At 46.6% G+C, this 21,367-nt stretch overlaps 1 pseudogene, besides 1 other annotated feature; it reads right to left on the bottom strand.

The window, feature by feature from the left end:
• On the bottom strand, positions 1,129–1,232 carry RNU6-705P (RNA, U6 small nuclear 705, pseudogene; annotated as a pseudogene).
• Positions 18,643–19,163: an enhancer, noted in NCBI's record as "H3K4me1 hESC enhancer chr5:180711037-180711557 (GRCh37/hg19 assembly coordinates)". NCBI's record gives its function as "activates a minimal SCP1, AML or CMV promoter by ChIP-STARR-seq in naive H9 embryonic stem cells {active_cell/tissue: H9 hESC(naive)}" and the evidence as "EXISTENCE:reporter gene assay evidence [ECO:0000049][PMID:30033119]".

The raw sequence follows: 21,367 nt of genomic DNA, 5'->3' as shown, positions 1-21,367 counted from the left end.
AAATGGAAAAGACACAGATACCCCAGGCATGGTGGCTCATGCTTATAATACCAGTACTTTGGGAGGGGGTGGTGGGGGGATTGCTTGAGGCCAGGAGTTCCAGACCAGCCTAAGAAACAAAGCAAGACCTCCTCTCTAGTAAAAATAAAAAAATAAAAATAATTGGCCAGGCATAGTGGCATGTGCCTATAGTCCCAACTACTGAGGTGGAAGGATCACCTGAGCCTAGGAGGTCAAGGCTGCAGTGAGTTGAGACTGTGCCACTACACTGAAGCCTAGGAGACAGAGCGAGACTTCATCTCAAAAAAAAAAAAAAAAAAAAAGGACAATAAAGAAATAAAGCTAATAAGCTAACATAAGGAAAGATAAAATATGTGACAAATAGGCTGGGCACATGGCTCACAGCTGTAATCAAGCACTTTGGGAGGCCAAGGCGGGTAGATCACGAGATCAGGAGTTCGAGACCAGCCTGATCAACATGGTGAAACCACGTTTCTACTAAAAATACAAAAATTAGCCAGGCATGGTGGCATGTGCCTGTAATCCCAGCTACTCAGGAGGCTGAGGCAGGAGAATCGCTTGAACCTGGGAGGCACAGGTTGCAGTGAGCCGAGATCACACCACTGCACTCCAGCCTGGTCAACAGAGCGAGACTGTGTCTCAAAAAAGAAAAAAGAATGGGTGACAAAGTAATAATATGAGGTCTTTCATTTATCACACAGAAAATAACTTGTTAAATTATAATACCTGTGTGGGCGAAGGTGCAGTGAAATGGCCATTTTCTTGTAGTATTAGTGGTGTTTAAAATGTATATAAGCCTTCCAGCATAAAGCTTGGAAATTTTTTTTAAATCATACAGACAGTGACTCATTATACTGCCTCCTCCAACTCCTGGCCTCAAGCAATCCTCCCACCTCAGCCTCCCAAAGTGCTGGAATTACAGGCTGACAGCCACCATGCCTGAAAGCTTTGCAATTTACATCGAGGGTAATAAGAATGCTCATGCCCTGTGACTCACAGTAATCTCACTTCTCGAAATTTCACCTTTGGATATAATTCAACCTAAACAAAAGGTCATATGCACAAACACAGTGAAAATCTGGGAGTAATTTTTTTTTCTTTTTTTAAAAAAATATGGAATGCTTCACAAATTTGCATGTCATTCTTCCACAGAGGCCGTGCCAATCTCTCTATTGTTCCAACTTAAGTATGTGTGCTACTGAGGCAAGCATGAGTAATTTAAGATAGAGTGGTTAAGTGAAATAAGGAAGAATTATGGAGAATTTAAAAATCTATGCTATTTATAGGCACCTAGTAACAGCTCAGTAAATATTAGCTGCTACTATTATTATTTTTATGGTAATTTCACTCAATTAAAAACTGTCGTTAAAAATTACCATTGTCATGGAACATAATGTCTCCTACTGTATAATTGTAAAAACAGATACAATTTGTCCCTTGGTATATGGGGGGATTAGTTCCAGCTCTCCCATTTCTGTGTATACCAAAATCCACGCATACTCAAGTTTTCGAAGTCAGTCCTGTGGAATCCACATATAACACAAATGGGAAAATTAGTGAGGTGTGGTGACAAGCACCTGTAGTCCCAGCTACTTGTGAGGCTGAGGCAGGAGGATTGCTTGAGCCCAGGAGGTTGAGGCTGCAGTGAGCCATAATTGCACCACTGCACTCCAGTCTGGGCAACAGAGTGAGACAGAAGGTTGACTTTTTAATAGAATTTTTCTGTTCACTTGAAGATATGGTCAGGATTGTGGCATATGAAAATTCTTCATAAAATAACTATCTAATCCAATTAATGCTGGAATTGGGAACAGCAGAAGTGTCATCTCAGAGCTACTCGCAATGAAAGGTGATGTCTGGGGCTCAGGTGTGTTGAGGTCCCCACGCCTGGACTATGGGTGCTGAGTGGGATTTACTTGTCCATCCATTTTCTATATTCCAGCACTGGGAAACCAGGGACAGTACTTGTTCTCAAGGGAATCTTCAGCTTAGGTGGCTCTGTAAAAGAGAAATTACATCATTGAAAAATCGTCGCAGGTCAGGTGAGGTGGCTCATACCTATAATCCCAGCCCACTGGGAGACTAAGGCAGGAGGATTCCGTGAGGCCAGGAGTTCAAGACCAGCCTGAGCAACACAGTGAAACCTCATCTCTACAAAAAATTAGAAAATGAACTGGGTGCGGTAAAACATTCGTATAGTCCCAGCTACTCTGGAGGCTGAAATAGGAGGATCGCTTGAGCCCAGGAAGTGGAAGCTGCAGTGAGCTCTGATCTCACCACTGCACTCTAGCCTTGGTGACAGAGTGAGACCCTGTCTCAAGACACACACAAACACACACACACACACACACACACACACACACACACACACACACCCCCAATCTCACTCTGTCCAGCCTTGACTAATCAAAAGGGCCTTCTGGTTACAGAAGAGGTATGCTCTTTTGTAGGACAGGGAGAGACCAGCAAGCTTGTTCACAGACTTTTCCTCATCCTCTGCTTAGTCTTCCAAGAACCCTCACAGTGGAAATGGAGTCTCTGGGAAAATGACCTAAATCTTTGGGTTACCAGGGGAGAAATATGCCTCCTTTGTCAATTAATAAATGGAACATCTGCCTTAAAATCCAGGGAGTTCTGCTAGAATGAATCACTCCCTAAGACCCTGACCAATGCATGGAACATGAAAAACTGAAGTTTAACTGGGCGCGGTGGATCACGCCTGTAATCCCAGCACTTTGGGAGGCTGAGGCGGGCGGATCACCTGAGGTCAAAAGTTCTAGATCAGCCTGGCCAACATGGTGAAACCCCATCTCTACTAAAAATACAAAAATTAGTTGGGCATGGTGGTGGACACCTGTAATCCCAGCTACTTGGGAGGCTGAGGCAGGAAAATCACTTGAACCCGGAAGGCAGAGGTTGCAGTTACTTCTAGAAGAATTTCCATTAGCCCTTTGAAATCCTTCAACATTCATGAAGGCCAAAGAGTTTTCACCTAATTTAATCTGATGGGTATGCGACCAGAGTCTTTCTAGGGAATAGAGACTCCCAAACAGTTCGACTGGGAAGTGAGGAGAGAATTTATTACTCAAAACCAAAGGGAAATGAAAAGAGGCCAACATAGAATGTCATTATTCTTTCTTGGCGGGGAATGGATTCCAGAGTCATTCTGTGACCTTTACATGACCTCCTTATTAGCATCTAAAAGCTTCCAGTGTAGGATGCAGCCAGCTAGGTTCTCTTCTAATGTAATAAAATTTGCTTCGGCAAATCTTATGCAGAGCCATCTCCAGGCTCCAGAAACAATAGGCTATAAATTACTGGATCTCCCATTTGATACAATGAAGTATGAGCACGGTCCTGAATGACTCCTCTACATACTACTCTGGGTGGCTTGAAGTGAATTTGATACAAGAACTGGAGCGAGGGCAAAGCAGAGCTAGATCTAGGATTAATGTGCTTGGGCCCAGCTCCTCACTACTCACCTATGAGTCTAGTTCCAGAACCCAAGTAGAGGATGGGGAAACAAGGCTCCTGACTTTTTTTCCCTAATGTCTGCATCTCTTTCACATTTCTTATCTCCTTGCAAAGAAACTAAACAGTCTCAACTGAAATAACTAAATGATTAAACCCTATACAGAGAATCTCCAAAGACTGACAAAATATCATTCAAGACTGTTACACAGACAACCTTGAGGATGACTTGATGTACCAGTGATCTACAATATTTGGGATCATTCCAAATTCCCATCAAGGATCTGCCTATATCAACAAAGGAGCCAAGGACCAACCATTCAAATGGGCCCTGCTGCCAAGCCTTTTTTTTTTTTTTTTTACAATGCCATCTCTTCATATTGTTCCATTTAACAAAACTGCAGCCCTTCATCTATCCTTAAGTCCCTTGGCCAATGGTACAGAGCCAGAGTATGCTACTCCCTAGCAGGAAATCAACAGGATGACCTACTAAACACCATTCAGAAGATGCTAAGACCCATGAATTGCAACAGGAAAGAAAAGACAGAGAATTAGTCAGACAGGTACATGCTGTGCCAAAAATGCACTACAGCCCCCACCCAATTCTGCCTAATCCTAGCTGGGCTGACACCAACCTGATGAGACAGGCCTATAAGATCTCAAACTAAAACAGAAACTCCTGAACTGGGTTCTTTCGAGCCCAGGAAGCAGCAGTAAATCATTAAAGAACAGATAAGTTCTTAAGGTGAGGGAGAGTTTCAGATAAATGGAATGCTGGTAGAACACAGGGCCCAAAGGAGCAAAAGTTAACCTAAGCCCAGGTAGAACCTTGTTTACTAGAGTATTAGGCATGGGTTTGGGCAACTATTCTAACCAGAGAAACTGGCTTCAGTGAGGGCAAGTTGGCAATCCAAGGTATAGCATGCATAGGGCTGGCAAAATTCAGGGTGACTGAAGCAAAAGCTTCAGAACCAGAAAGACCACATCTGGGGGTAGAGCACAAAACTCTCAAGAGATGAATCTTTGTAAGAGTGAGGCAGAACTATATAGCAGTTTTAGGAGATCTGTTGGTGCCCAGCAAGAGCTCCAAACGGGCTATATGCAGGGATGCAGGCTGTAGTCTCAGGAGAGGAGGTTCACAAAAGTCATTCAGTCCAAGACCTCAAACTGTGTTCTCTACTAAAAGGAATCAAGGTTCCCTAGAGAAACGGCTGACTCCATGTATGGTGCAGTATATTGATCCTGGAACATCTTTTTTGCCAGAAAGCAAGGAAGCCATCAAAGTCCAACAGGATCACGTCAAAAAGACATGAAAGTCAACTTGAAGAGATAATTATTAACCTAGATGAGACAATGTAAGCATCCAAAACAATAAAGACTGCAATGGCCTGAAATACATCAAATGCAAACAATAATCTATGAGTTCATAATGGTATTCAGAAAAAAAAACTACTGGTCATTAGAGGGAAGGTTACTAGGTCACTAACTTACTACTCTGAAAAGTGACTTAAGATGAGAGGTAGGGTGGAGAATTAGCTATTTATTCAGTCTTTCCTGTACAAACATAAATTTTTAGGGAGATTGAAGCAGATGAAACAAATCTGGAAAAATGGAGGTAACTGCTTAATCTGCGGGTTGGGTGCATGGAGGTTCAACATATTTCTTTTGTGTATATTTGAACCCCCTACAAAAAAAGCACAAGACAGAATGTGAGCCAAGCAGCTTAGGGTTTAGGCAAGGCTTCTGCCTACAAGAGACACCAGGATATGAGGGGTAGTTTTAGCCCTAATGGGCTGAGCCAACTGGAGGTATATAGGGAAGTGCTAAATTGCAGAGGTATCATGTTGCCCAGCACTTGATCAAATCCTAGATCCTAGGTCTGCTTGGTGGCATGCTTCCTAGGTAGTGGATCTGAGGCTACCTATAGAACTTCCTTTGCAGTCATAGTTCGCTCAGAAACTACAAAAGTGCTTGCTCTTGAAAATGGAGTCTTTGTCCATTTCATGCTTCTATAAAAGAATACCACAGACTGCATAATTTATAAAAAGGAAAAAAGGAAGGAAAGAAAAAAGGAAGGGAGGAGGGAAGGAGGGGAAAAGGGAAGGAGGGAAGGAAAGGAAGGAAGGGAAAGAAGGAAAGGAAGGAAGGGAAAGAGAGAAAGAGGGAAGGAGGAAGGGAGGGAAGGAGGGAGGGAGGGAGAGAGGGAGGGAGGGGAAGGGAAGAAAAGGGAAGAGAAGGGAAAGGAGGAAGAAAAGGAAAGGAAAGGAATAAATTTTATTTCTTAACAGTTCTGGATGTTAGGAAGTCCAAGGTTGAGGGGCCTGCATCTGGTAAGGGTCTTCTTGCTGCATCATCCCACTACAGAAGGCAGAAGGAAAAGAGAGTGCAAGAAAGCAAGAGGGCAAAAGGGGCTGAACTCGATGTTTTATAATAAGCCCACTCTGTGATTACTAATCTATTACCACAATAACAACATTAACTCATTCATGAAGGCTATTTTATTAGGCCCCACATCCCAACTGTTGCATTGAGGATTGAGTTTCCAGCACATAAACTTTGGGGGACACATTTAAACCATAGCAGAGCACTTAGGTTAATTCAACTAAGAGGAGCTGGGAAAATCAAAGGCATGAGAAAGACAGCAAAAGCTAGCAGAGAGAAATGCATAGGTTAAGGAAAAAAGTCACAGTGAATCCTGTAGTGCAGGCTACTTTATCAAAAGCACCTAAAAAAGATCTCATTAACTCCCCCAGCTCACCTCCACGCACATCTAAAGAGCCACACACAGCACCACCAAAGGCAGCACAATGAGAACAGCATTCTCCTCAACAGACAAGCTGGGAGTATCTAGACACCTGACCTCAATAGCTCCAGAACAGCCCTAAAACATTTCCTCCCTAACCACCACTCAAGTCACCAGCTTGGAAAGTATTAAGAAAACCCAAATCCTGACACACCACTATGAAACAACTTAAAACAGCAAAGAACAACCCATTTAAACAGCAATGCCAGCTGTTGGGAAAAAAAGGAACAATGAGTAGAGGAGAAACAGACCTCTCGGGGTCCACCAAGACCCAGTCTCTCAGCTTCAGCACTTTTAAATGCAGAATCCATACCCCTCTGGGGCCTGTGGAGCTCCACAAGGCATGTCGTCCTCAAAGATAAATGAGCAGGCAAGCTGGCTAGAAAACCACTAAGGGTATTTATTCTTTAAAGAATCTTTACAGGGTCAAAGAAGAATGGGTCTTAACTGGCTATGTGAACTCCCCACAGATTCTGAGGATGATGTCAGTATCCCTTTCCAGATGTGTTTAACACTTTGCAGTCACTTGTATTCCTGCTACTGAGTGCCAGTGCTTTGCTAATTTGAACTGATTCCAGCTCACGCTGACCCCAGCTCCCTGGATGTTACCATTAGCCAAGACTGTCACCCATACTGTACCCTTTCAAAGAGTCCTAAAAACAGCTCTTCACCTACTCTTCCAAGACAAGTAAAAATGTCTGCCAAAGAAATGGGGAAAAAAGATTCAGAGAGTGAAAACAATTAATATACTAACAAGAGAGCAAAAAGCAAAGGGGGAGGAGAAACTAGGAAAATCATATATGGGCTCTCACCTATTTCCAAAGCTGGGCTAATGTCCTTTTGCTTGTGTCTGAATAAGGCACCAATTTTAAGCTGCTAATGAAAAAAAAAGAAAAAGAGAAAGAAGCAGGCCCAGGCTGGGCGCAGTGGCTCATGCCTGTAATCCCAGCACTTTGGGAGGCCGAGGCGGGTGGATCACCCAAGGTCAGGAGTTCTAGACCAGCCTGGTCAACATGGTGAAACACCATCTCTACTAAAAATACAAAAAATTAGCCAGGCATGGTGGCGCATGCCTGTAAATCCAGCTACTAAGGAGGCTGAGGCAGGAGAATTGCTTGAACCTGGAAGGCAGAGAATGTGGTGACCTGAGATCACGTCATTGCCCTCAAGCCACGGCAATGAGAACAAAATTCGGTAAAAACAAAACAAAACAAAACAAAACTACCATAAAATAACTCAGACTTAATTAAATACAACCCTAGTGGTGAATGACTAAAGCTGGATTACTCATAACAGAGGTAACAGTCCAATAAGAATCCAGGAATCTTACCTTTTAATAACAAAAAAATCCTTTCCTTCTAAAGTAACATCCTCTCAAGGCCAGGAATTCCATTAGTAGAAAGCCTTCCTAAAAAACAAAATTCCTGGCCAGGCATGGGTTCACGTCTGTAATCTCAGCACTCTGGGAGGCCGAGGCGGGAAGATCACTTGATATCAGGAGTCGAGGCGGGAAGATCACTTGACGTCAGGAGTTTGAGACTGGCCCGGCCAACATGGTGAAACCGCATCTCCACTAAAAATACAAAAATTAGCCTGGTATGGTGGTGGGCACCTGTAATCCCAGTGACTTGGGAGGCTAAGGCAGGAGAATTTCTTGAACCCAGGAGGCAGAGGTTGCAGTGACCAGCAAGGTTGCGCCATTGCACCCCAGCCTGGGCGATAAGAGTGAAAACTCCATCTCAAAAAAAAAAAAAAAAAAAATTCCTTTGGGAAGGCCTTCTACATAAAAATCTTCAACATGAGACTGGAAAAAAGGGTATGGGATCATCACCGGACCTTTGGCTTTTACAGCTCGAGCTGTAAGAACAAAAAGAAAAAGGGATATCATTTAAACACAGTATGTAGAAAAGAATAATTATTGAATCTGTACTGGTCTTTAACTTTTACACTTTGATCTTTAATTCTGTTATTGTGATTGAGTCCAAAGAAAAACAGTATGAGTAAAATAAAAAGAACACCAAAAATGCTAATATTCTGTTTACCGAAGTCTGTAGTGAAATATCCCATTAAATCCAAGTGCAGTGACACACCCATAATCCCAAGCACTTTGGGAGGCTGAGGCGGGTGAATCTCCTGAAGTCAGGAGTTCAAGGCCAGCCTGGCCAACATGGTGAAACCCCAACTCTACTACAAATACAAAAATTAGGCAGGCGTGGTGGCAGAGGCCTGTAATCCCAGCTACTTAGGAGGCTGAGGCAGGGAGAATTGCTTGAACCCAGGAGGTGAGCTTGCCATGAGCTGAGATCATACCACTGCACTCCAGCGTGGGTGACAGAACAAAACTTCAACCTCCAAAAAAAAAAAAAAAAAAAAAAAAAACAGCTAGCAGGTGACATTTGCTATAGGGAGACTAGGGATATGATCTTGCTGCAATCCTTCCATTTTAGTAAATCTAAACAAGTGTGAATCCATTCTGTTTCGTCCCCACTCCACTCCAGAGCCAAAACAAGAAAATCAATTATATTTCTAGTTCTTTAAAAACATATCTAACTAAATCATCTAATTAAAAGATAATATGCATGGTTCCATACTCTAAAAGAAAACTTATGTCCTGCATATCATGGACATTTGATGAATGCTTATTCAGTTGACTGGTGTAGCCTTCAATAATAACCTGTTCAATGCATTATGCCAGATGAATCTTGCATCTCAAAAGTAGAACAAATATTGTTCTTTCAGTTTTGTCTACCCATAAATGCAATATTTACTAATAAAAAGAAAATGAGTTTATTGTTCTAGAGAGTATGAGAATTTTGACAACATGAATTCTTCTGTCCTAGGACATAATTAATACTTAGAGGCATACTATTTCATGTGGAAGCTACCATTAAATCAATGTTAAGTGTTAATTACCTCACATAATCTTCTAATCTGACTTGACTGAAGACGTACCTGACAGTTGATTTATCAAGTTGTAAATCTTCACCTGTTGAATTCATAAGTTCATGTCTGAAAGGTGAGAATAAATACTTAATATTCATTAGGCAATATTCAGCAAAGTAATATCCACTAGTACATATTTAATATTTCATCATGAACTGCGGTTGTGAAGAGAAAAGACAGGCTGGGCACAGTGGCTCACACCTGTAATCCCAGCAGTTTGGGAGGCCGAGGCAGGCAGATCATGAGGTCAGGAGTTCGAGACCAGCCTGGCCAACATGGTAAAACCCCGTCTGTACTAAAAGTACAATAATTAGCTGGGCATGGTGGCAGGCACCTGTAATCCCAGCTACTCGGGAGGCTGAGGCAGGAGAATTGCCTGAACCCAGGAGGTGGAGGTTGCAGAAACCATTATCACGCCACTGCATTCCAGCCTGGGCAAGAGAGCAAGATTCTGTCTCCATCAATCAATCAATAAAAATATAAGGAGGAAGCATTTACTGTGTATTTATATGTCTGGTATTATGTGAAGCACTTTACTATCTTATCAAATCTTCGGGACAGATCTTCAGTTCTCATGACCACAAAAGAGGATACTAAAGCTCAGACAGGAGAAGAGACGTGGCCAGCCTGTGTCCCCAGGGCCTATGGTCTTACCACTAGGTTACAGTGTTTCCAGATATCACATGTTGTGAGATTTTTGCTTTAAAATGAACCAAAAAAAAACCAAAGGTGAAAAAGGCATAAGCTATTAAAAAGTGGGAGAAACACTAAGAGAACCTTAAGCATGTAACTAAAAATATTATGGAAATGTTATTGAATTCATTAGCAAATTTAGTGCTAGGTTTTCATTGAGGAGTAGGTTATATTACTCATGATGAAGAAAAATGTTCATTTTAAGTATATTAACATAAATACCATCAATATTGTTTATCATGTTTAAATGTTCACTTAAAGCAATTCAGTTAAAATTCTGCATATCATACAATTTTATAGTTTGCTAGTAGGTTACAAGTAAATAGTCACCCAAATAAAAACATCACGTTTTCCACTGGTTGTTGCTCTTTTTTAGGTGAGTATTTGATGTATACCAACAGAGAGAGGATAATAACAAATCGCTAATTTCTTTCATCACTATATAAAGGTGGCTTCAGGATAGAATAGTAGCAGGGCAATGATGAATTTGAAATCTAACATCAATTCAGTGATGCATCAAGATAAAAGTAGAGACAATAGGGGCACCTTGGAGAGTACTGAACATTTTATTTATTTATTTATTTTGAGATGGAGTTTTGCTCTTTTTGCCCAGGCTAGAGTGCAATGGTGCAACCTCGGCTCACCGCAACCTCTGCCTCCTGGGTTCAAGCGATTCTCCTGCCTTGGCCTCCCGAATAGCTGGGATTACAGACATGCGCCACCACACCCGTCTAATTTTGTATTTTTAGTAGAGACGGGGTTTCTCCATGTTGGTCAGGCTGGTCTCGAACTCCCGACCTAGATATCTGCCTGCCTTGGCCTCCCAAAGTGCTGGGATTACAGGTGTGAGCCACCGCACCCGGATGAATTCCAAATTTAACAAAACAGACTAAGAGAAACAATTCATTTAAAAAAATAATATTTGGCCAGGCATGGCGGCTCACACCTGTAATCCCAGCACTTTGGGAGGCTGAGGTGAGTGGATCAGGAGGTCAGCAGTTCAAGACCAGCCTAGCCAAGATCATGAAACCCCATCTCTACTAAAAATACAAAAATCAGCCAGGCATGGTGGCTGGTGCCTGTAATCCTAGCTGCTCGGGAGGCTGAGGCAGAGAACTGCTTGAACCCGGGAGGCGGAGGTTGCAGAGAGCCGAGATCGTGCCACTGCACTCCAGCCTGGGCGACAGAGTGAGGCTCTGTCTCAAAAAAAATAAATAAATAATTCAATGAAATCCCTAAGATTCAGGGCTTTGCAATAAATATGTAAATAAATTTCCAATCTCCATACTGAAAGTTTAAAAGAAATGCTAACTAATAACTAAAGAAATACAACTTTTCCTCAGCTTTGCAGCAATCTAGAAACAAAGTGTGTAGACACTACAAAGCACCTTACAAGGAGAAACGTGTAAGGATGGCATGACTCGCCGGCAGCCCTGGGCTTGTCCACGGTACCCCCATGATGAACAGTAACTCCATTGTGTAAACGCCCATGAACATAAGATTACAGGACTTTTCCAGTTTAGACATACCATATTTTCTTTCAGACAATTCTTCAGTTTGTTTACATAGATCAGCGATACGATGATTCCATTTCTCTGAAAATCAAGCAAAAGTTGCTTCTCAATAATACGTCCCTATGTCAGAGCAGCACTAACGTATAATGACTGATTTCATATATTTTACATTCTAACAGTCCATATCATTTTACTGCTTTCAAGAAAAAATTTCCCCTTTTTGGTGGTTCTTAGAATGGTTTAATGGGAGACTATTAGAGAAGCTGAAAAGCAGGAGGGCAGAGAAGTTCAATCAAATTAAACACAATAACAGGGAGGTCACAATGAGGCGGTCTCCAGGGGTCTTTTAGCAAACTTCCTAAAACATGTCTCAGCTGTGTGAAATAAGACTTTACAGCAGCCGGGTGCAGTGGTGCAGGCCTGTAATCCCAGCACTTTGGCAGCAGAGGCAGGCGGATCACTTTGAGCTCAGGGCAACATAGCCAAAAGCCCCCTCCCTAGCCCCACCCCCACCCCGTCCCTACCAAAAATACAAAACAGCAGGGCATGGTGGCGGGCGCCTGTAGTCCCAGCTACTCAGGAGGCTGAGGCAGGAGAATCACCTGAACCCAGGAGGCAGACATTGCAGTGAGCCAAGATCACGCCACTGCCAGCCTGGATGACAGAGCAAGACTCCACCTCAAAAAAAAACAAAAACAAAAACACAAGGTTAAGAGGGACCCCCGACCTTACAGATACAAGTTTAAGAGGGACCTCTAAGCAAAAAATGCCAACCCTTTTTCTCCCAATCACTGAAACACCAGGAGGGTGTAACAGTTTTGCAGCCTAGCTGTAGCAGGCTGATGCCCCCCAGATGCCCATATCCTAATCCCGGGAACTGGTGAACATGACCTTATATGGCAAAAGGGGCTTTGCAGATATAATGAAGTTAAGGGTCTTTGGCTTTTGGGGTTGATGTACTCACTCGGATCCTTGTAAGAGCAGAGCAGGTGATGGAGAGGGTGGGAGGTGTAGTGACAGAAGCAGGAAACTCCAGTCATTCAAGACGGGCAGCACAAGCTGAGGAGTGCAGGCCACCTCTACGGCCAGGAAACAGATTCTCCCGCAGAGCCTCAGAAGCCACCAACCCTGCTCCCACCTTGACTCAGAAGGACTTACTGTAGAATTCTGGCCTTCAGACTTGTAAGGGAATACATTTTGGTTGTTTTAAGTCACTAAGTGTGTGGTAATTTGTTGCAGCAGCCACAGGAAACTAGTATTGTAGTGAAGCCTCAAAACCCCCCTGAAGGGGCTGGGCTCAGTGGCTCATGCCTGTAATCCCAGCACTTTGGGAGGCCGAGGTGGGTGGATCACTTGAGGTCAGGAGTTCGAGACCAGCCCAGCCAACATGGTGAAATGCCATCTATACAAAAAATACAAAAACTAGCCGGGCATGGTGGCACATGCCTGTAATCTCAGCTACTCAGGAGGCTGAGACAGGAGAATTGTTTGAACCCAGGGGGGCGGAGGTTGCAGTGAACTGAGATTCCACCACTGCACTCCAGCCTGGGTGACAGAGCGACGCTCCATCTCGAAAACAAAACAAAACAAAAAAACCCCACCTGAAGGTTTCCAGTTCTGCCAGCAGTCTCCCACCCAACCCCCAGAAGCAGACATTCCATTGCTGTGGGCCATGGACAGGCAGAAGGAAGCACCTCCTCATGGCAGAGGCCTACCCAGGAGAAACCCAAGGGAAGGCACTGCTGGGCTGGCCCCTCTCTGCCAAGGCCATATTCTTTTTTTTTTTTGAGGCCAGTTTCACTCTGTCTCCCAGACTGGAGTGCAGGGGCACAATCTCGGCTCACTTCGACCTCTGCCTCCCCAGTTCAAGTGATTCTCCTGCCTCAGTCTCCTGAGTAGCTGGGATTACAGGAGTGTAGCATGCCTAGCTAATTTTTGTATTTCTAGTAGAGATGTGGTTTTGCCATGTTGCCCAGGCTGGACTCGAACTCCTTGCCTCAAGTAGTCCACCTGTCTCAGCCCCGCAAAGTGCTGGTATTACAGGAGTGAGCCACTGCACCCAGCATTTGCCAAGACCTTTGATGGCAGGCTTTTTCCAGGTGATCAGTCCTTGTCTGGTCTGGCTCTGCCCCACTCTCCTTCTCACCTAGTTGGAATCCCTAGCTACTTTTCAGTAGAGGAGAGTGTGTACCCCAATCCCAGCTTGGTTCAGATCTGCATTTAACTCATGGAACCTGGCTGCTCCCCAGGTCCTGAAGGAAAAAACGGTCTCTCTGTGCGTATGATAAAGGATGGGCCTGTCCCCAGGACCCTGTGAGAGGGAAGCCCAATGTCCCACCAGGTTGGCAGGGCTGGGGAAGGGAAAGTGTTATGGCAGCCCCAAGAAAAAAAAGAGGCAGCAGAGGGAGCAGGACAGCGCTCACATGGAACTCATGCCACTGCCTGAATGAGGGGAGGGAGGAGTGCACGCCAGTGACGTCAGGGGGCAGAGAGGCGCAGTTCCAGGGCGGCTTTCCCCCTCACTTCCTGCCATGTTACTCTGATCGCCTCCAGGTGAGCCTGCCCACTTTGTGCCCAGGGGCCTGTAGAAAACCACAGCTCCCCATGGTTATGGCCCCAGGAGTGGGGCAGAGCAGGGAGGAGTCCTGGACAGAGGAGAGGCAGGGGCAGGAGGGAGTGGGCCTCAAACTCCAGGAGGGGGCCCTTCTCATGGGTCCTGCTTTCTGGCTTCTCCTTCCTTACACCTGGGCTGATCACTTGGGGAAGAACTGAGACAAAGTTTCTCACCCTCAGGCCCAAAGGGTTTAATTACTGGGCCCTTAGGGAGGTGTGAGCCCCCTGAAAGGATGCAAGGTTTTGTTTTGTTTTGTTTTTTGAGACAGAGTTTCGCTCCTGTCGCCCAGGCTGGAGTGCAGTGGCGTGATCTCACCACACTACAACCTGCGCCTCCCAGGTTCAAGTGATTCTCCTGCCTCAGCCTCCTGAGTAGCCGGGATTACAGGTGCCTGCCACCAGGCCCAGCTAACTTTTTGTATTTTTAGTAGAGATGGGGTTTCACCATACTGGCCAGGCTGATCTCAAACTTCTGACCTCGTGATCCACCCCACCTCAGCCTCCCCAAGTGCTGGGATTACAGGTGTGAGCCACCATGCCCGGCCCCAAATTATCTTTTAATTTTAAAGACATACATATTGTTTAAACAAGTCAATAAATAACTATATTGAATAACAAAGTGAAGCCTTCCCTTTACCACAATCAACCTACTGTTCTCTCTCTATCTGAGGCTCTCTTCCTACGTTCCACTGTCCCAGACTTCTGCAAAGTATTTATGTATCTATTTAGGTATCTGTCCATCTTTCCATTCCTTTCTCAATTATATATTCTGGTGGTTTCGCTCTCCACGTGGCAACTCTACATCCAGGATCAAAACGGCATCAAAGGAAGCTTGGAACAGTGACAACCCCTACCTGAGATGTCTCATTCCAGGGGCAAGGCTGCCTGGTGCCTGATACCCATGAGATTAGGAAAAGCAGGTGGGGTCCTGTCCACCCCTTCTATTCCCGAACGCTTGGCAGAGTTCCTGTGGCTAACATGCCAGTTGTATCAACTTCTGCGCAGTCTCATGTGAAGTGCCACACTACGTTCTCAGCCTGGGAGGTTTCAGGGCTCAGCTGGCTCAGATCCCATGTGTGGGGAGCATTAAGAAAAATATGTCACCTGTATAAGACTAGTGGCAAAAATCTGACTCAGTGCTACTTCTCTGTTTGTCCTTTACTTAAAAGGTGAACCATAATTAAAATGATCCAGAAAAGAGAACCAAGCAGGAAACTGAGTTGCTTGGGGAAAGGACCATGCTGCATTGATTTTTACATACCCAATGCCAGCAGTGCATCAGGTACACAACAGGTTCTCAATAAATTGTTAAATGGGTAAGTTGATAGAATAAAAAACAAGGTCTCTTCCCAGTGCTGCATGCAGAAAAGCTCAGTTAGAGTGAATTCTTATTTGCAGAGATGAGAGATTTTTAGTCTTCTGATGGCTGTTTCCTCCTCTCTGTTTTCTTTGCCACAGTTTAGGGGCAAAGAAAAGTTTCTCTCTCTCTGAAATGGTAGGAGAAACCCTTGGGGCTTAGCTAACAAATCAGGCTCTCTCTTTCACATGTTGTGAGAATAGAAATATTTAACCATCAGCACAGACAATGTCATTTGCATAAGGGAGTGACTTCCTGGCTGAGAGATGGTCAGAATAACATACAGCCTAGGAGTGAAGGCAGTGAAGTTTGCGAGCCTAGGGCTCTGGTTCTGGTGTCTGCTTCATGGCTGTGTGATCTTGGGCAAGTTTCCTAAATGCTCTGCTTCTAAGTTTTGTCATCCATAAAATGATAACAACAGTACCTGCCTCAAATAGTGTGTGGAAGAGGCTTAAACAAGCTAATGTAAGTCAAATCTTGAGCACAATCCCTGGTGTAGCTATACATGTTTGTGTATATATCAGAAGCTCGAAATTATACCATTAGTATTAAGAACATACTCTGGACCCTCATTATGCTGCTATTCTCAATATCCCAACACTTGATTTCTATTGACAACTCCTAGGCTCAACTGTTCCGCCCACCTCAGCCTCCCAAGTAGCTGGGAATACAGCCACCACACCTGGCTAATTTTTAATTTTTTTTGGTAGAGACAGGGTCTTGCTATGTTGCCCAGGCTGGTCTCAAACTCCTGGCCTCAAGAAATCCTCCCACCTGGGCCTCCCCAAGTGCTAGGATTTACAGGCATGAGCCACCATGCCCAGCTCCCTTCCTCCCCTTTGCTCTCCTAACTCCATCTCAGCATCCGCCCCTGAGGACAAATGCAACAGGGCAATCAGTACATCCATGAACTTCCCATCAGTCCTGTGGTGGACTAACCCAGGGACAATGGTCACTGTCCCCTCTGGTGCATTCTTTGTCCCCATCAGCCTAGTAAGCTCCGGGGCTGGCAGCTGGCACAGAGTAGGAGGCTGCACTCCCTGACCTTTCTATGCTACACACAGTCCTGTGTCCATCCTGTCCTCAGACCTGCCAGGGCCATGACCAACCTGCCAAGAGTGTGGGAATTGGTATGTGACCCAGCTCTAGGAGGAGGTGGAGCAAGCAAATATAGGGGAAGCTGCTCCCCCAGTAGGTTTAGAGGGAGAGTGGGGTGGGGGCGCAGCAGGGCCAGGCGGGTTAGGGTGTGTGGGTGACATTGTGCAGGTGAGGGTGTGCGGGTGGGGGTGTGTGGGTGGGGGTGTGTGGGTGAGGGTATGAGTGCCTGTCTGGCTCTCCTGGGTGGGGCTGGATGAATGTTTGGGCACAGGCAGCGGCTGTCACATGGCCTGGCTGTGGGTTTGAGACAGAAGCCAGGCAGGTGGGCTGTGTCAGGCACAGCTACAAACTGTGCCAAGGAAGCGGACCAGAGCAGGGGCCCAGGGAAACCTCTGCCTTAGCAGAAGATACTGGGGAGACAGGATCAATCGGGGAGGTCTTCCAAGGCACATGGTGCTTCATGGAGCCAGGGCCCAGGACAGGGAGGGCTGTAACCCTGGCTTGCCTGATTGGCTGAGCACAGACAGAAGAGGGTGTGGGCAGCCCGCCAGGTGGATGCCTAAGTGAGGAAGGAATGGGTGGCCAGGTGACTGAGACCGCCAAGACCAGGACCCCACTGTCAGGCCTGTGGCTTCCCAACGCCTGTGGGAAGTGTTCCCCTTTGGACACTGAGGCCATCGGCTTCAGCTTCACACCCTTTTCCAGACAAAGACCCTCAGGTAACCTCAAAAGTCACTTCTGGCCTTCCCCAGAGGGGAAAGGAGAGGGGTGCCTGTGGGCAGGTGACCCTCAGTGCTGGTGGAGGGCACAGCAGAGAGACTGCCTGCATATGGGAGGCCCCCAGCAGACCTTGCCCAGACATCAACCCTCGTTTGAGGCAAACTGTAAAATTATCACAATTTAGGCCAGGTGCAGTGGCCTATGCCTGTAATCCCAGCACTTTGGAAAGCCATGGCAGAAGGACTGTCTGAGCCTGCAGTGAGCTATGACTACACCCCTGCACTTCAACCTGGTCAACAGAGGAAGACACTGTATCTAAAATAAATAGGCTTGGCGTGGTGGCTCACACCTGTAACCCCAACACTTTGGGAGGCCGAGGCAGGTGGATCACCTGAGGTAAGTAGTTCGAGACCAGCATGACCAATATGGTGAAACCTCATCTCTACTAAAGACACAAAAATTAGCCGGTCGTGGTGGACCGTGCCTGTAATCCCAGCTACTCAGGAGGCTGAGGCAGGAGAAATAGTTTGAACCCAGGAGGCAGAGGTTGCAGTAAGCCAAGGTCGCGCCACTGCACTCCAGCCTGGGCGACAGAGTGAGACTCCACCTCAAGAAAATAAATAAGATGGGAAAGCTATGTTCTTAACATTTTTCAAATGATAATTCATACTAAAGAATGTTACCAATAACATTATAACTTATACCAATAACTTATAAAATAACATTATAACTTATACCAATAACTTATAAAATGCACAAAGCATTTTATAAGTTTTAGACTATTAATAAAAAGACACGAAAACTGAGGTATTTGTAATCATGCTTAATATTGGAAGTTCCTATACCTGCAATGTAGCAACTAATTATACAAAAATTTAATAAATGACAAAATAAAATTTTGCAAACAGATTTGTAATAACCAGAAAGAAATCTGTATTGGCAATTAATGTAACATAATTAAAAATAATTTGTTATGGTCATCTGCTAAATGCTAATTAATGTAAAATGTTAAAAGATTATTTCAATTATGACATCCTAATTTTTAATGGCTTGAAATATTATAAATATAAAAAACAGGTTTCTAAATTTAAAAGAAGAATGACTAAATTTTTCAGAAATATTTCATATTTCTTGTCATACAATATAAGAACACCATTCCATGTTTCCTTTTAGATTAGGAACCTTCCCTTATCTCACTGAAAGGAGAATGCTGGAAGGTGCTAGTAAGATGACAGTCTGTCTAAGGACTCCAGAACTGAAGGAATTGTTTTGTGGCAATGCATGTCACTTCCCTAACTCAACTGGAAAAGGAGACAAAAACCTAGTGTTTTCAACCCTCAAGCTAGCAAGAAAACACAGCCCAGGTAAGATCATCTCTTCTCCAATGGAGCTGGAGTCTACTCAACAAGAGGCGACCATTTAGAATAGAATTGTTCAGAAGTTTGCTAACAATAAGCAGCCAACATAGACACATTCTCCATTAAATCTAAAATTCCCTTTTCCCCCACTAGGGTGCCTGAGGGGCATGTAGCAAAAGTGATCCCAACCACACCACGCAAACTAGCCAGGAAACCTTTTTGCCTTCACACATCTGAGAGTCCCTGAGAAGCCGGAGACAACACAGAGGCAGCAAAACACCAACAGGAGAGTCCCAGCATCAGTTCCTGGCCACAGAAACCCTCCTGAGCAGCAGGCAGAACAGAATCCACTACAGCAATCAGCCTGCCAGAGAAGCCTCTGCCCCTGTGGTGTGAGGATCCACTTCCCCCAGGTGACACCACAGGCAGGTGGGCTGAAGAAGTGGGAAGGTCAAATCGACTGGCCCAGCCAGGATGCCTCTTTGATGATACAGGTGGTACCGGTCTAAGCCTCCCCTCTTCCACAGGGGAAACTAGGTGGCCCAAAGGGTGCCCAGAGGCAGGGGACCTGCCACAGCAGCCACCCTCCTGGGAGGTTCCCTTTCTTCCCCTTCGTGAACTCCCTCTAACACACAGCTTGCCAGGGAAGCACCCTTTGTCTTACATGGAGGGATCCCACCACACCAAAACCCAGCCAAAGAAGCCTTTTGTCCCTTAAGGGTTACCACAACCAAAAACAAAAAGATACACAAATAGTAAGCCCCTAAATTCTGTTAAGAATGAAACAATGCTGCCACTCACACCTGGCTCAGACGCCAGCAGAAGGAGGGCACCCTCCAGAGACCGCAGGAGAAGGGGGAGGACTCCTCCTTGCCCTGGTCCACCACTGTCACTGAGGCCTGCGGTACAGAACCGGCAGCTTCTTACCCACCCCAGGCCGGGCCGGGCCCCAGAGCTCTCCTACTCCCCCTTCCTGGCCCCTAGACTTGCTGCTGCTGCCACCATTAGCGCCGACGCCAACGGAACCAGCGCTGCTGTCACCCTCCATGCACCTACCCACCCTCCAAGGCTCCTACTACTTGGCCTCCACGGGTACCCTCCTACCACTCCTGTTGAGCTGCAGTCTCCATCACCGTGGCCGCCACAACCGCAGGAGATGAATCACAGAGCTGTGCCATCTTCAGGCTACAACCTCCAGCTCACCACAGGGGACTCCTCCTTCATCAGCCTGGCTTGGAGCAGCTGGGCAGACAATGCCAGAAAAACCTACAACAGGATGCAGAAAGTGGCAGTGTTGGAGCCTCACCTTGTCATGCTGGCCACTGGGTGGCAGGGACCAGTTTCAGCAAAGGCACTCACACCTACCCTCCAAAGTCCAGCCTCTCCTCCTAGACCAAGCTGGCCTCCTGACCTGGGGTGGGGACTGGAGACACCACAGTGCCCAGGGCTCACTGGGGAGCAAGAATAGCAGAAACTCAGACCCAGCCAGTCCTCTCCACCCAAGTACCAGTTCCCATTCCTCACTCCTCCACCCACAGGACCCTGAGCCCCCGTGGTGCCCACTACTCCACGCCTGGGGCCCCCAGATGGTCTCCACACCACGCAGCAAGAGGGCAAGGGCCGGGGAACCATGGTGGGTGTGAGGGCCCTGGGGTGGTCAGAGGATTGCCGTGAAAACTCTGTACACCCTCCACGCTCCAACACGAGCAGAAGTTGTTCACCCTCTAGAGCCTTGAGTCCGGGAAGAGGAGAAGGGCCCCTTCCTCAGAGGCCACCACTGTCGTGGCCACCTCCACAACCTGCCGCTGGCAGCAGCAGTGCAGCCTCCCCCCATAGCGCCCCAACCTGCCCCCCCACCGACAAGCGTAGCCCCCGGATTGTGCCCACAACACACCCAGAGACTGCTGCAGGCAGTGTAACCCTGATAGCGCCCCCAAACCACCCCTCTGCTCCTGGCAGTGTAACACTCGATAGTGTCCACAACCCATCCCCGCCACGGGTGTTGCAGCACCAAATAACACCCCACCAAACCCGCCCCCCACCCGAACCACAAGCAGCACAGCCCCAGATAGCGCCCCCAATCTGCTCCCGTCTCGGGCAGTGAACGCCCAGGGCAGTGCACCCAACCAACCCCCCACCCCACCTTCCCCTTTCCCCCACGGACAATGCAGCATTTGACAGCTCCCCTAAAGCACCCCCGACTGCCTGCCAGTTGGCATTGTTGCTGACATTGTAGCCCACGATAGCTCACCCAACCCGCCCCCTGCATCAGCCAGTGCAGCAGCTAATAATGCTCCTAACCCCCTGCCACCCGCCACTGGCAGTGCACGACAGTGCACACAACCCACAACCTGCCTCCAACCCCCCGCCCCCTTAGGCAGTGTAGAGCCTGATAGTGCAGCGAACCTGCCCCACTGCCAGCAATTCAACGCCTGATAGCGCCACCCACCAGCCCCCCGCGGCAGGCAGTGCAGCCCCAAAAGCACGCCACACCCGCTCCCCTACCACCCCGCAAGCGGGCAGTGCAGCCGCAGAGAGCGCACCTACCCTGCCACCTTTCTACCAGTCTAACAGAGATGCAGTCTCCGTCGCCACCACCAACCACAGCCAGGAGAACCGCGGTGGCCAAGGCTCCAGCCACGAGTGTTGGACACGGTCCCCACCTTCTCCTAGACCTCTAGCCGGTCAAGAGCATCTCCAGCTGCCACCCACCCTCCTACGGCTCAGGCCGCCCTCTTACTGCTCCAGCCCCCCTCCTACCGCTCAGGCCGCCCTC

The sequence above is a fragment of the Homo sapiens genome, chromosome 5 (genome assembly GCF_000001405.40).
Source record: "Homo sapiens chromosome 5, GRCh38.p14 Primary Assembly".
Taxonomy (NCBI): Eukaryota; Metazoa; Chordata; class Mammalia; order Primates; family Hominidae; genus Homo; species Homo sapiens.
Note: the sequence above shows the minus strand (reverse complement) of the source record. Positions and strands in the feature narration are given on the sequence as shown.